Source organism: Homo sapiens, chromosome 7 (assembly GCF_000001405.40).
Source record: "Homo sapiens chromosome 7, GRCh38.p14 Primary Assembly".
NCBI lineage: Eukaryota > Metazoa > Chordata > Mammalia > Primates > Hominidae > Homo > Homo sapiens.
The window spans coordinates 152,204,178-152,219,091 of NC_000007.14; the positions used below are offsets into that span (position 1 = coordinate 152,204,178).

General features: G+C 38.0%; 1 protein-coding gene across 1 annotated transcript in view; it reads right to left on the reverse strand.

Moving 5' to 3' along the window:
* Window positions 1–14,914, reverse strand: part of KMT2C (lysine methyltransferase 2C) — a 301,079-nt gene that overhangs the window by 69,253 nt on the left and 216,912 nt on the right. Inside the window, exons 24-25 of the mRNA NM_170606.3 lie at window positions 3,123–3,251; window positions 929–1,048 (exon numbers count right to left, since the gene is read on the reverse strand). Of these exons, the coding sequence (NP_733751.2) occupies window positions 929–1,048; window positions 3,123–3,251 (249 nt within the window). The remainder of the gene's footprint in view (window positions 1–928; window positions 1,049–3,122; window positions 3,252–14,914) is intronic.

Consider the following 14,914-nt stretch of genomic DNA (forward strand, 5'->3'; position numbering starts at 1 on the left):
ATCCCAGCCACTTGGGACGCTGACGCACGAGAATTGCTTGGACTCGGGAGGTGAAGGTTGCAGTGAGCTGAGACGGCACCACAGCACTCCAGCCTGGGTAACAGAGGAAGACTGTCTCAAAAACAAAATTTTTTTTAGATATCAGCTGGGCTCACATTTGTAATCCCAGCACTTTGGGAGGCTGAGGCAGGAGGATCGCTTGAGCACAGGAGTTGCAGGCCAGCCTGGGCAACAAAGTGAGACCCTGTCTTTGCAAAAAGCCAAAAAATTAGCTAGGCATGGTGGTGTGTGCCTGTGGTCTCCAGCTACATCAGAGGTTGAGGACAGGAGAACTACCTGAGCTCAGGAGTGCAAGGCTGCAGTGACCCATGATTGTGCCACTGCATGCCAACCTGGGTGACATAGTGAGACCCCTAGATAGATAGATAGATAGATAGATAGATAGATAGATAGATAGATAGACAGACAGATACATAAATAGATAAAAACTGAGGTGCACTGTCACTTGAGAATTTCAAATTATATGATAAGTAGCTAAGGCAGTCAAAGAAAGGCTTTGGAGATGACCAGAAAGTACCTTATGTAACTAAGTTATTCAGTCCCTAAACCATTTATATTTAAATATAGAAAATATATTTAATAATTTGATACAGGAAAAAAGAGCTTGTCAAAAAATCTCAAAAGAATAAAGTCTATTGGATTTAAACCATTTCCTTATAAAACCTGATTACTGTATTACAGATATGAACTCTATACGCACTCAAATCCTTTCATCAATAAAAGGCAATAAGACTCTTATTGAGTAACAATAAGAGGCAATAAGGCTCTTATTGACTGTAACATTATTTAGGATAGTTTTTTCCAATAGAAATATCAAGACCAAAGGGTTACATTAAAAAAAAAATTTTTTTTTAAGTCAGTACTATACCATCATCTCTGCAAGGTAACTGCTCGGAAATAGAGCCTGAGGAATCTTTTCTGATCACAGATCTTTTGGTTTTCCCTTGCCCAGTTCGACTTCTTTGCCGCACCATAAATCCACCAATACCTATCCAAAAAAGAAATTAGGTAAACTGATAAGTAATTTCTCCCTACATTTCCACAGTACACAGGATAAAACTGCTTTATCTTGAATAGTAAGTCATTTTCCAAAATTAAATCTGTGCTAATCTAAATCAATAACCTGATTTTTAGGTAAAATAGAAGTTAAAAACGACCAAAAAAAAAAAAAAAAAAGGCAAAGCCACTCTTATCACTTATCAAACAGAATACAAAAAGACCTGTGTGCACTTCCTCTTCTCAACAGTATCAGTGTAAATATCAAACACTAAATTACGCTGGCTTATCTATTTGACAAATATTAGTGCCTCATACATCACATAACAGTCATGCACTGCATAATGATGTTGGTCAACAAAGGGCTGCATGTCAAGGCAGTGGTCCCATAAGATTATAATGGAGCTGAAAAATTCCCACCACATACAGACATCACCGTAGTTATAACACCGTAGCACAATTACTTTATTTTTTTAAATGAATTTAGCGTACCATACAGCCTAAATGTGTAGTAAGCTATACCATCTAGGTTTGTGGAAGTGCACTCTATGATGTTCACGCAACGATGAAAATGCCTAATGATGTATTTCTCTGAACTTAAGTGATGGATGACTGTCTGTATATTAACCGGCTAACTGGTACATTAGCTGGAGGATAGAAGGCACAAACTACCTAGATGACACAAATATTCTTTGACTGATATGATTTCAGGGGGACGGTGTCTGGTACTCCAAGGTATGAGGGCATTTATACATGGGACACATAGAGCCCTGTGTTTAACAGCATGGAATCTGGAGTCAGACTATGTAATTCTGCTTACTAAATACTTCTCAATGCCTCAGTTCTTTCACTGGTTAAAAAAGGGGGTGAGGCAAAGCAGCTTCTCATACACATGTTAAAAGGACAAATAACATAAGTGAAGTGCTTAGAATAGAGGTCTGGTACACAGTCAACACTATAAGCTTTTGTGAAATGATATCGTTGTCTAGCAATTTACTCCGTGACCTAATGGGTCCCTCAATTAGAGGGTTGACTTCCATGTGAGGCAGAGGAAAAGAAAAAAAAAACGGTAAATACAAGTTCCTGGAAGAAATCTGCAATGTCTAAAAAAGTACACTTATAAGCCTCATGATCAGGAAGAAATGAAATCATTTTCATAAAACAATTCAGAAGCAACTAATCTTAGGTCCTTATTATAGATATGACCTATTTAAAAGATAGGTTATCTTTTAAGGTCTCATGGAATACGAATGAAGTAAGAAAGTTCTTCCTTCCATATCAAAAGGGATTTAGATCACTCTTACCAATAAAATATAAGCAATAAGAAGCATAAAGATTGTACAAATCCAATTTAAAACCTCATTGGTAAACAAGATATTAATAAACTGCCTAAGGAAAGCCTACTCAACACGTGTGATAAGCGGGAAAAAAATTTTTTAAATAAATACATAAAAGCCTACAACTTCTGTATTGTGACAATTTTAATAATTTTTTCCAATAAGGCAAATAAAACTGACAAGCAAGACCGCTTTTCTCTCCACTCCTGAGGCAGATAAGAAATGAGTGTTTAATCAGTCATGGTTTTTAACTGGACTATAAATTCTAGGAGCCATAATAACTCTGTCTTATTCCCCTTCACACTGTATACTTACTGGCACTCCTGCATAAACACTGAAATAAGTTTTTTCAAAAAAAGATATTAGAAAGTGAATACTGAAAATTAAAAGCGTTACAGAAGTACACATCCAGAGGAACTATATAAATGGCCTTCAAAGTCCAAGTATGAACAAAAGCCAATCTAGTAAAGCCTTTAATAAAATGGTTAACATTTGGGACAAGGCATTCAATAATGATTCATTGTGAAGTATTCACACATTCAAAATAAAGAACTCTAGAGCTAAAAAGTCGTATTCAAATAGTTTAGTTCTTTAATTTATGTGCACATATTTTTGTTTAGACAGTTCTGAAGCCTGAATATTTAATTTTAATTGAAGTCTTCAGTATTGTATTTTTCTTTAATTAACCAAGTGTTGATGATATTGAAATGTCTACCTCAGGCACTATACCTGGTCTGTATGGTTTCCTTTTTCTCTTTTTGACACCATCTGTTCCTTCCACTCCCTTAGTTTCATCATCCACAGCTTCCCGCTCAGGACTAGATTCTGATTTTCCATCACAATCCATAAGTTCTCCTTCTGGAAAAAAGTAAATGTATACACAAAACTGGAAAAACCTATCAAATATATAATCCCTACATAATGGGGAATAAAAAGTAGGGTTGTTGCTGAGCCATTTTAATTGTACATCCCTGTTGGTAGGGAAAGTATGAAAGGAGATAGAAGAAGCCCCAAATGGTTGTAGAAATTGTGCTGCTTAGTGCAGTGTTCCCATGAAATAAAACATAATCAGAGAAGGGGAACACAGAACTCAGAGTTCTGTTAAGTGCAATCCATTTGCACTTAACAAATTCACTTGCTTTTAATTATGTCTTCAGGTCCAGGTCTCTAGACTAGAACTCTCTTCTGAGCTTCAACCACAGCTATAATTGAATATTACCTAGTTACTGAAAACTGTATATCCAAAATGAACTACTAATTTAAAATAAACTTTCTCCTTTTTCCCATGTTACCTATCATCATTAAAAGGCATGGAAATGTAACCCGGAGAAGACAGAGGCCTGGAAGACCACCTCAATCATTCCTAATCTCTTTCCTCCTACAACCAAGACTTCTCAATACCTCTGAAATGCATTTTATCACTCTCTACTACCATCTTAGTCCAACCTCAGATGACTCACTATTAATACAACATGCTCCTATCTAGTTCCCCACCTTAAAGCTTACCTCTCTCCAATCAGTTCTTTAAATTACTGCATAAATGATCTTTCTATAAATATGTATCCATTTTCTGCTTAAAATCCTTTCATGTCTTCCCAATGCCCTCAAAATAAACTTTAAATTGCAAGGCCCATTACAACAGTCTCTTGTAAACTTTCCAGCTTCATCTCACTCCCACCAGTGAACTACACTCAGTTCTTTGAATGTATCAAGCTCTTTCTTCCACTATCTTCCCCAATTTCTGCCTTCTACCTAACTTATCTTTCAGGATTTATTCTAAACTTCACTGTATTAAAGAATTCCTGATATTTAGAAAAGATTATGTCAAACAGTTGTATGCTCCTATGTATTAATGTCATGCTTTATTTTTATTGGTTCTTTAAAATCTGTGTCCCTGCTAGACTATATTCTCCATGAGAACAGGTACACAGATTTTCTTAGTAACAGATGTATTGTTAGTAGGATACCTAATACATGTTCAATAAATACTTCACTGAATGAGGTAAATGGAATGCTTAGAGAATGCTATTTTAGAGAATGCTATTTTAACACTATGGTAATCAAACTTTTCCAAGTTATATATGCTTTACATTGTATTACAGGAAAAAGACATGTTTATCAAATACATTTTAAAATCAAGTTGTTAACTCCTTCAATATTCTCAGTATTAGAGATAACATATTTCAGTAATGGCATGAACAGGGTATTTGTCTTTTGTTTTTTATTATATTTGGTCTATATTTGAGGCCAATTCCATAACAATCTGATAATGGCTATCGGCTTATGACTAAGCCATGAAAAGAAAAGTTTATAGGCCAGGCACGGTGGCTCATGCCCATAATCCCAGCACTTTGGGAGGCTAAAGCAGGTGGATCACTTGAGGTCAGGAGTTCCGTACCAGCCTGACCAACATGGTGAGTCTCTACTAAAAATACAAAATTATCTGGGCGTGGTGGTACACGCCTAAAAGCCCAGCTATTCAGGAGGCTGAGGCAGGAGAATTGCTTGAACCTGGGAGGCGGAGGTTTCAGTGAGCCGAGATTGTGCCATTGCACTCCAGCCTGAGCAGCAAGAGTGAAATTCCAACTCTCAAAAAAAAAAAAAGGCCAGGCACGGTGGCTCACGCCTGTAATCCCAGCACTTTGGGAGGCCGAGGCGGGCAGATCACGAGGTCAGGAGATCGAGACCATCCTGGCTAACACAGTGAAACCCTGTCTCTACTAAAAAATACAAAAAATTAGCCAGGTGAGGTGGCTGGTGCCTGTAGTCCCAGCTACGTGGGAGGCTGAGGCAGGAGCATGGCGTGAACCTGGGAGGCAGAGCTTGCAGTGAGCCGAATTGGCACCACTGCACTCCACCCTGGGCGACAGCGGGACTCCGTCTCAAAAAAAAAAAAAAAAAAAATGACAGGGAATTTTGAGTTAAGATGGCAGACTAAATTCATATGTTAAAATTACATTCTCCTGAAACCCTACTAAAAAACACACTGAAATAATCTATTTTTAAAAGATAAAATCAAGCTGTGGCATGGTGGCATGCCGGTAATCCCAGCTATTTGGGAGGCTGAGGTGGGAGAAGAGAATTGCTTGAGCCCAGAAGGTTGAGGCTACAGTGAGTTATGATCACACTACTGCATTCTAGCCTGGACAACAGAGAAAGACCCAATCTCCTTTAAAAAAAAAAAAAAAAAGACAATAGGAAAGGAGAAAAACAACTTAACAAAGGCAAATTCTCAGTTGAGAGCAGAAAGAACTGAAAAAAAGAATCCAGTTTATAACACTCCTCAGAAGGCTGAGAAACTAGGAAAACTGGCCACCTTTGGAAATAAGTGGGAGAAAACCCAAGCAACAAGAGATTTAATTATCTGCAGAAGTCATACTCCCTACATCTGCTTCCTAGGTTTACACACTGAGAAGCTGCTACTCTCATTTGTGGGATGCAGGATTCCTGGGTGACCTTAAATGGAACAATGGGATGAAGACTGAAAATAGGACCAAGAAAATATGGGCATACTAAATGTGGACAACCCCATCCTGCTCCCGCTGCCAGACCCCACGTTTCCCCACTGAATTCTCAGAAAGCTAGCAGCCAGATCTCTAGCCTCCAAGTATGAGGTTTGAAAAGACTGCAGTGGGGAACCTGAGCAGTTCAAGAAGAACATCTAAAGATACGGAAACCAGAGGGTTCACCAAATGGTCAGCACAAATCACCCCACTAAACTTACAAATCGACAAGCACCACCACATACAGAAAGCTTTCTAATCAACTACTTAATTCCTTTTTTAAAAAATAAAAATACTATCTATCCAGTCTCCATCTTTAGTTCTTCACTTTTAATCATGCATGTACCATAAAGATTATCCGACTATGGTCTATAACAAGCTTGTCCAACCTGCAGCCAAGATGCTTTAAATGCAGCCCAACACAAATTCATAAACTTTCATAAAACATTATGAGACTTTTTATGAGTTTTTTTTTTTTTAAAAAAGCTCATCAGCTATCATTAGTGTATTTTATGTGTGGCCCAAGACAATGCTTCTTCCATTGTGGGCCATGGAAGCCAGAAGATCTGCAACACCCCTGATCTGTAACATGAAAGACAGAGACCTGAGAACATAAAAGACAATTTGGAATTAACAGACTAAGTAGGAAGAAAAAAAATCTTAAAAAAGATTAAAATCCTCTGAGGGATAATATAAGATACCCATGAGGCAAGAATAGGATGCTACAAAAGAAACATTCAAAGGGAGGAAAGAAAGCTCTTGAAATAACTGAAATAGAAATAAAACTCAGTAGAGGAAGATAAAATAAGGACATGAATTGGAAAGAAGCAGAGAAAAACTGAGTATGTTTCACATCTGAAAAGCAGAATTCTGGAAAAACAGAGGGAATTGTTATCAATAATATAGTTCAAGAACATTTCCTACCACTGAAGGATATAAGACAGCAGACTGAAAGAGACCACTCAGTGCCTAACAAAACAGATTTTAAAAATCAAAAATAGACAAAAACAGACGTTATCCTCATGAAATTTTAGAACACTGAGGACAAAGAATTTCCCAAAATCTTAACAGCTTCCAAGAAAACGCAGGTCACATAGAGAGAACCGAGTTCTTCATATACTAGAAACTAAAAGACAGTGGATCAATTGACTAAAATTGATAAATGAAAATGTATTTCCAACCTGGAAAAGATGAGTCAGGTAGGAAGGTAAAATAAAGACATTTTCAGAAGTATATAATGCTCAAAACTTACCTTCCACACATTCTCTGTCAGGGAGCTATGGAATATACGTTCCACCCAAATAGAGGGAAAAAATAAAGAGAAATTCATGAAATTGCAGAAAACACATGTAACACAGGAGAGAACAGAAGATGATCTCCAGGATGATGAAGAGGAAATCCCCAAGTTAATCATATGTAATGGTTTGTGGCCAAGGATAACACTGGATCTAGTACAAAGGCCACCTTTCACCTGAAACAATGCACACAAGGACAGTAAAAACCAAGAGAGCACTTTTATTGATGAGGTTCATAGTGACACCAGTAAGCATACATGTTGAGACAAATGGCATAAAGTAGCACATACAGTGCCCTCACACAGGTGGTATCACTGTAGGCTAAAGTCTCTTCTAACCAACATCTTCACAAGGGCCTTCTGATTCCCACAGGCTGAAATAAAGAAAAAGACCGTATCGGCCAGGCACGGTGGCTCATGCCTGTAATCCCAGCACCTTGGGAGGCTGAGGCGGGCGGATCACGAGGTCAGGAGATAGACACCATCCTGGCTAACACAGTGAAAACCCGTCTCTACTAAAAATACAAAAAATTAGCCGGGCGTGGTGGCAGGTGCCTGTAGTCCCAGCTACTCCAGAGGCTGAGGCAAGAGAATGGCACGAACCTGGGAGGCAGAGCTTGCAGTGAGCCGAGATTGCGCCACTGCACTCCAGCCTGGGCGACAAAGCAAGACTCCATCGAAAGAAACGAAGAAAAGAGAAGAGAAGAGACGAGACGAGGACAGAAAGAAAGACAGACAGAAAGAAAAGAAAAAGACCATATCACCCAAATATGAGAAATTCTCCCATATATACATACTTGTATCTAGATGACTAATCTCTGGAAAGCTATAAGAAAACACTGGTTCTTTCCAAGGAAGGGATGGTCAAAAGGTAGGCTAACTTAACACTGTTCACTCTTTTTAAGACCTCTGTATTTCTTGTATCATGCACAGGTATTGCCTATTCAAAAACAAACCTACAACAGGGAAAGACTGAAAGCTTTTCTTCAATATCTGCTACAAGGCAAGGATGCCTACTCTTAACACTTATATTCAACATAGTCCTAGCCAGAGCAATCACATAAGAAAAGGAAATAAAAGGCATCAGCAGAAAAAAGCGGGTAAAATTATCCCTGTGTGCAGATGACATGATCCTGTATGTAGAAACCCCCAAAAATTCCACAGTTACTAGAATAAATGAATTCAGTCAAGTAGCAGGATACAAAATCAATATACAAAAATCAGATGCATTTCTTTATACAAATAATGATCTGAAAAAAAAATGAAGAAAACATTTCCATTTAAAATAACATCAAAAAGAATAAAACACTGAGGAACAAATTTAATGAAGGAAGTGAAAGCTTTATATACTAAACACTATAAAATATTGACAAAAGAAACTAAAGACACACAGCCGGGCATGGTGGCTCACGCCTGTAATCCCAGCACTTTGGGAGGCCAAGGCGGGTAGATCACCTGAAGTCAGGAGTTCAAGACCAGCCTGGCCAACATGGCGAAACCCTGTCTCTACTAAAAATACAAAAATTGGCCAGGCAGGCGTGGTGGCAGGCACCTGTAATCCCAGCTACTTGGGGGGCTGAGGCAGCAGAATTGCTTGAACCCAGGAGGCGGCAGAGGTTGCAGTGAGCGGAGATCACACCACTGCACTTCTGCCTGGGCAACAGAGCGTGACTCTGTCTCAAAAAACAGAAAAAAAACTAAAGACACAAATAAATATAACGATATCCCCATGTTTGTAGATTGGAAGAATATTGTTAAAATGTCCATACTATCCAAAGTGATCTACAGATTCAATGCAATCCCTATCAAATTTCCAAAGGCATTTTTCACAAAAATAGAAAACACAATTCTAAAATTTGTATTAAATCATAAAAGACCCTGAATAGCCAAAAGAATCTTGAGAAAGAAAAACAAAGTAGAAGGTATCACACTACCTGATTTCAAGTTATATTACAAAGTGATAGTTAACAAAACAGTATGGTACTGGCATAAAAACAGACACATGGATCAATGGAACTGAATACAGAGCCCAAAAATAAACCCAAGCATATATTATGAGCTAATTTTTGACAAGTCCAATAAGATACAATAGGGAAAAGATGGTGTCTTCAATAAGTAGTGGTAAGAAAACTAGATATCTATATGCAAAAGAATGAAACTGGACCTGATGCCTATCTTACACATCATACATAAAAAGCAACTCAAAATAGATTAAATACCTAACACCTGAAACCATAAAACTCCTAGAAGGAAATATAGGAGAAAAACTCCTTGATATCCTCCTTGACAATGATTTTTTGGATATCACACCAAAAGCTCAGGTAGCAAAAGCAAAAATAAGCAAGTGGGACTACATCAAGCAAATAAGCTTCTGCATAGCAATAAAAAAAAAAAAAAAACACCGGGGTGAAAAGGTAGCACAGGGATTAGGGGAAAATATTGGCAAACCACACATCTGATAAGGGGTTAAAATCCAAAACATATAAGGAACTCACACAACTCAGTAGCAAAAAAATCCCAAATAACTGGATTTTAAAATAGGCAAGGACCTGAATAGCCATTTTTCCAAAGTCACACAAATGGTCAAATGGTATATGAAAAGATGCTCAACATCATAATCATGAGAAAAATGAAAATTAAAACCACAATAGATATCATCTCATGTCTCTTAGAATGACTATTATCAAAAAGGCAAAGACATAAGTGTTGGTGAGGATGTGTAGAAAACGAAACCTTTGTACATGGTTGATAGGAATGTAAATTAGTATAGCCATTATTGAAAACAGTATAGAGTTTCCTTAAAAAAAAAAAAACTACCACCATAAGATCCAACAATGCCTCTGTTGGGCATATATTCAAAGGTAATAAAATCAGCATCTGAGAGAGACATCTGCACTCCCATATTCATGGCGACATTACTCCCAATAGCCAAGATATGGAAACAAACTAAGTGTCCTGATGGACAATTTACTTACCCATTCAAGGACAGATGAATGGATAAAGAAATTGTGACGTGTGTATACACATATATTAAGTCCTCCCTTAATGTCATCAATAGGTTCTTGGGAACTGAGACGTTAAGCTAAATGAACATACAGCAGGTCCTCAAGTAACACTGTTTCCTTCAATCTAATTTTGGCATAATGCAAAATGAAAAAAAAATCAGTTTTGTCATACTTTTTTCCCCCTCTTAACCACAGTTTCTAAGAACTTACTGATGACAATGAGGACTTTATACAATGGAATAGTTAGCTTTAAGAAAGGAGACACTGCCATTTGTGACAACATGGATGAACCGGGAGGAAAGTATACTAAATAAAGTAAGCCAGACACAGAAAAATACTGTATGATCTCACTTAATAAGCAGAATGGTAGGCAGCGGGGTGAGAAGCTGAACGTATAGAGAGTAGAATGGTGGTTATCAAGGGTCTGGAGGTAGGGGATGGGTGGGATGGGCAGAAGTAGGTCGGAGGGTACAAATCTGCAGTTAGGTAAGACGAGTAATTCTAGAGATCAAATTAATACACAGCATGAGAACCACAGTTAATAATATTGTAATGAAAATTTGCTGAAAGAGATTTTAGGTGTACACACACAGAGAGTAACTATGGAAGGTGAAGGATACAGACATTTGTTTGACCATAGTAATCATTTCACTATGTATACAAAGCATGTTGTATACCTCAGATATGTGTAATAAAAATAAATGAAAAAAAAAACTGTATCCTACCTGCCAAAAACAGTTTTAAATGCATTATGTCTTTGGATTTAGCAAGGAATTCACCTTTGCAGGCCCACTTACATACAACATTATAAATATACCAGGTGATTCATTGTACTATTCACAGTAAAAGACTGAAAGAAAGCCGAGCGCGGTGGCTCACACCTGTAATCCCAGCACTTTGGGAGGCCGAGGCAGGCAGATCACGAGTTCAGGAGATTGAGACCAACCTGGCTAACATGGTGAAACCCCGCCTCTACTAAAAATACAAAAAAATTAGCCGGGCGTGGTGGCAGGTGCCTGTAGTCCCAGCTACTCGGGAGGCTGAGGCAGGAGAATGGCGTGAACCCAGGAGGCGGAGCTTGCAGTGAGCAAAGATCGTGCCACTGCACTCCAGCCTGGGCGACACAGCAAGACTCTGTCTCAAAAAAAAAAAAAAAAAAAAAAAAAAAGATTGAAAGAAACCCAAAGGTCTATCAACAGGGGAAAGAACAGGTAAGTTAAATTGCTTATATTTCCATACAAAGGAATATTTGCAGCCATAAAAAAATGAAGGACAGTAAATAGTAGTAAGACAAAAGGAACAAAATATATATATATACACACACACATACACACACAAAATATATATATATACACACACACACACACACACACACATTTCCTTATACATGCATAAAACACATCTGGAAGGTTACACAAGAAACCTCTGAGGTTTCTGGAGATGTAAACTGGGGGCATGAAGGCAGGGGAAAGGGAGAGACTTCACTGTTTACCTTTTAATTATTTTCCAATTTTAAATCATTTGAATGTATAACTTGTCTAAAAATCAAATTTTAAAAGTTGAGGGAATTAACATTACAGAAAGTAACAAACCTCAAGGAAGCAGCCACCTTCACCAGATGGATAGTCTACCTCACTCTTCCCACTCTCCAGTAGTTACTGAATGCCAGTCCCCTCCCTCCATTCAGTCTGCCCCACCTGCTGGCCTTCTAGAGCCTCAGTGCAGTCCTATTCCCACACCTCCCAACACATCCATACACTGTGATGGTCGATCTGGGACCACCAGTTGAGAGGAAATGTGTTGTGTTTCCACTCTTGAGACAAACAGAGTGTTATTTTATTGAGGTATGGGATTTTTTTCTTGCATTAACAGGGTTTCTAGATCCCAGGAGGTGAATGAGAAAGAAGTATGCTTTTATTGCATAAGGAATTTGTTTCTGATACACCAAAGTGATGATGTATGACTTTTCTTAAGGAAGCGGTTATTAGAAGAGTTAAAAATAAATAGAAACAAAAAGTCATAGGTATTGTTCCAATACTCCAGGAACATCACAGTTTGGATTCTGTAGATGTGTGTAATATAATGTGTAATATTACATTCTGACAACCTCAAGTTGAAAACTGCACAGCTGAAGATCACTTATAGTCAATAATACTTTTCAAACTTTAATTTTAAATTCATCAAGTCTCTCCCTAATGTATTGTACTTTTTAATAAAGGAAACTGTCAGATATGCTATAATACAGAGGAAAACGTTTATATACTCTTTCATTATAATTTTTCCACAACTTCCAAAATGAAGAAAAAGACATGGAAACATTAAGCTCATAGAATAATTGTGGCAGACAATTCCCTCATCCTAAAAGTTCAATTACCCCAACACAGGCATAATTTCTTACTAACTCAAAAGGAACTGAATTCACATATAAAGACAAGCATGGGATTCTGTTGAGTTCTGTTGGACACAAGACACAATTGCTCAAGCACTGGTTGAGCACTTGTATTCTAATAGCTCACGGTTACTGAGCACTCCATGTGTGGGAAGAGCCAGTGCTGGGTGCCTGGCATGCATCCTTGCACCTCATCAGCACAACTATCCTATGGGCTCATCCTGGTTCACCTATTTTATAAATGAGAACACTAGCATCAAAGAAGTTAAAAAATTTGCCTAAAAACACCCAGAGTAGGTTTCATCATTGCCCACTACTTTATAATGTTTTCCCAAGGGTACTGAGACATTATCAAAACACGTTAGTGAAACAGTCTAAAACATCACAAATTTTAGGTTTAATACAAAATACCCAGAAAAGGGCAGTGTTATTAGAAATCTCAGCATAATGTAATAATAAGAACTTACGATGATTGTATTCTTTCCCTATTTTTTCTCCTGTACAGGCATATGAAATACCATAAAACTTATTTTAGGGGTGTGTGTGTACATGTAGTTTCAGGATAATATAGTAATCTAAAACATTTTTAATATGGCAAAGTGTGGCAATACTGAATTTTTAAAAGGGATTTTTATTTAGCAAACAGAAAGCAAAAATGTTGTCCAAGTAACATGCACTTATTTTATCCCTAGGAATGTACCTTTCCTTCTGCAAAGGATGTGAGATCCTGGCACGTAAATGAACATGAGGGACTAGTCATGAAAATGCTGTATATTCAATTCCTTAAATTCTAAAATTGTCTTAGCATTTAACATCCAACACACTAAACAATCTTTTTTCATATTCAATAAAAATAAGGACAAATTCAGTAAATTCAGATGGGCTATTTTATCACGTAAATTTTAAAAAAGCAAGGGTAATTTTTCAACTGATTTTCTTTTACCCTGATACGAGTCAATGAGAAAATATGAAATTGAAACATATCACCATTTCTCAGTTTACAAGTGGTAGTCACAAGGAAAACCTTCCAAGGTCTTTTGTGTTGTTTTTAAAAGGTATTATAATCTCATAATTTGGGAAACAATGTGTACTATTATCAAGAAACCTTTCATATTTTGTGAAATGGAGCACTTCCCAAATTTAAGAGACTATGGAAACCTTTTTCAGACATTTTTTAACATCCTCAGAAATGGAAATTCTTGTTAAAGCTGATCTGATCAATTCCTCCTAAGTATATGGACTACTTCTTTGCAAACTCCAACTGCCCAAATCAAATTACCTGTTCAATTGTATCTGAAAATCAGTTACATACAAGCATCAGAAAGTGTTTCTCCCAGTAACATAGACCCAAAACACACTACAAAACAAAAATTATCAAGAACATACAAAAGACATATCTTTTCATTTATTTATTTATTTTTTGAGATGGAGTCTCACTCTGTCACCAGGCTGGAGTGCAGTGGCTCGATCTTGGCTCACTGCAACCTCTGCCTCCTGGGTTCAAGCAATCCTCTGCCTCTGCCTCCCGAGTAGCTGGGATTACAGGTGCCTGCCACCACACCCAGCTAATTTTTGTATTTTTAGTAGAGATGAGGTTTTACCATGTTGGCCAGGATGGTCTTGATCGCCTGACCTCAGGTGATCCACCCGCCTTGGCCTCCCAAAATGCTGGGATTACAGATTATAGGCATGAGCCACCGAGCCCGGCCACAAATGACATACCTTTTCAAAGCCACAATTACCTCTCACCTGGACCATTGTTTCTCACTGATCTACCTGTCATAACTCTTGCACCTAATCATCTATTTATATCATAGGAGAGTGTTCCTCTTAAAATATAAATAAGATCATGGTGTTCTTCTTTTCAGGAACATTCAATGGCCTCCCATTCCATTGCTATTAAGCACAAACTACTGACACATCACCTTATGGTTGTGTGAGATATACTGAGCCGTCCTTCTTGTCCTCACATCTCTAATCTTCTCACCTTCTGACTGTCCCCTCTGCTCACTCTGTTGGTCTCCACAACACTCTTTCTTCAAACATGCTCAGCACACTCTCACCCAGAGCCTTTACATCGGCTTCCTCACTGTCTGGGATGCTCTTCTCTCAGGTAATCAAGTGGCTCACTCACTCACCTCTTTAAAATCTGTGCTCAAATACTGCTTTCTGTTCATATGGACCCTAAACACCCATCTGTACTTCCAATTCCTTTTTTTTTTTTTGGAGACAGAGTCTTGCTCTGTCACCCACGCTGGAGTGCAGTGGTGCAATCTCAGCTCACTGTAACCTCCGCCTCCCAGGTTCAAGCAATTCTCCTGCCTTGGCCT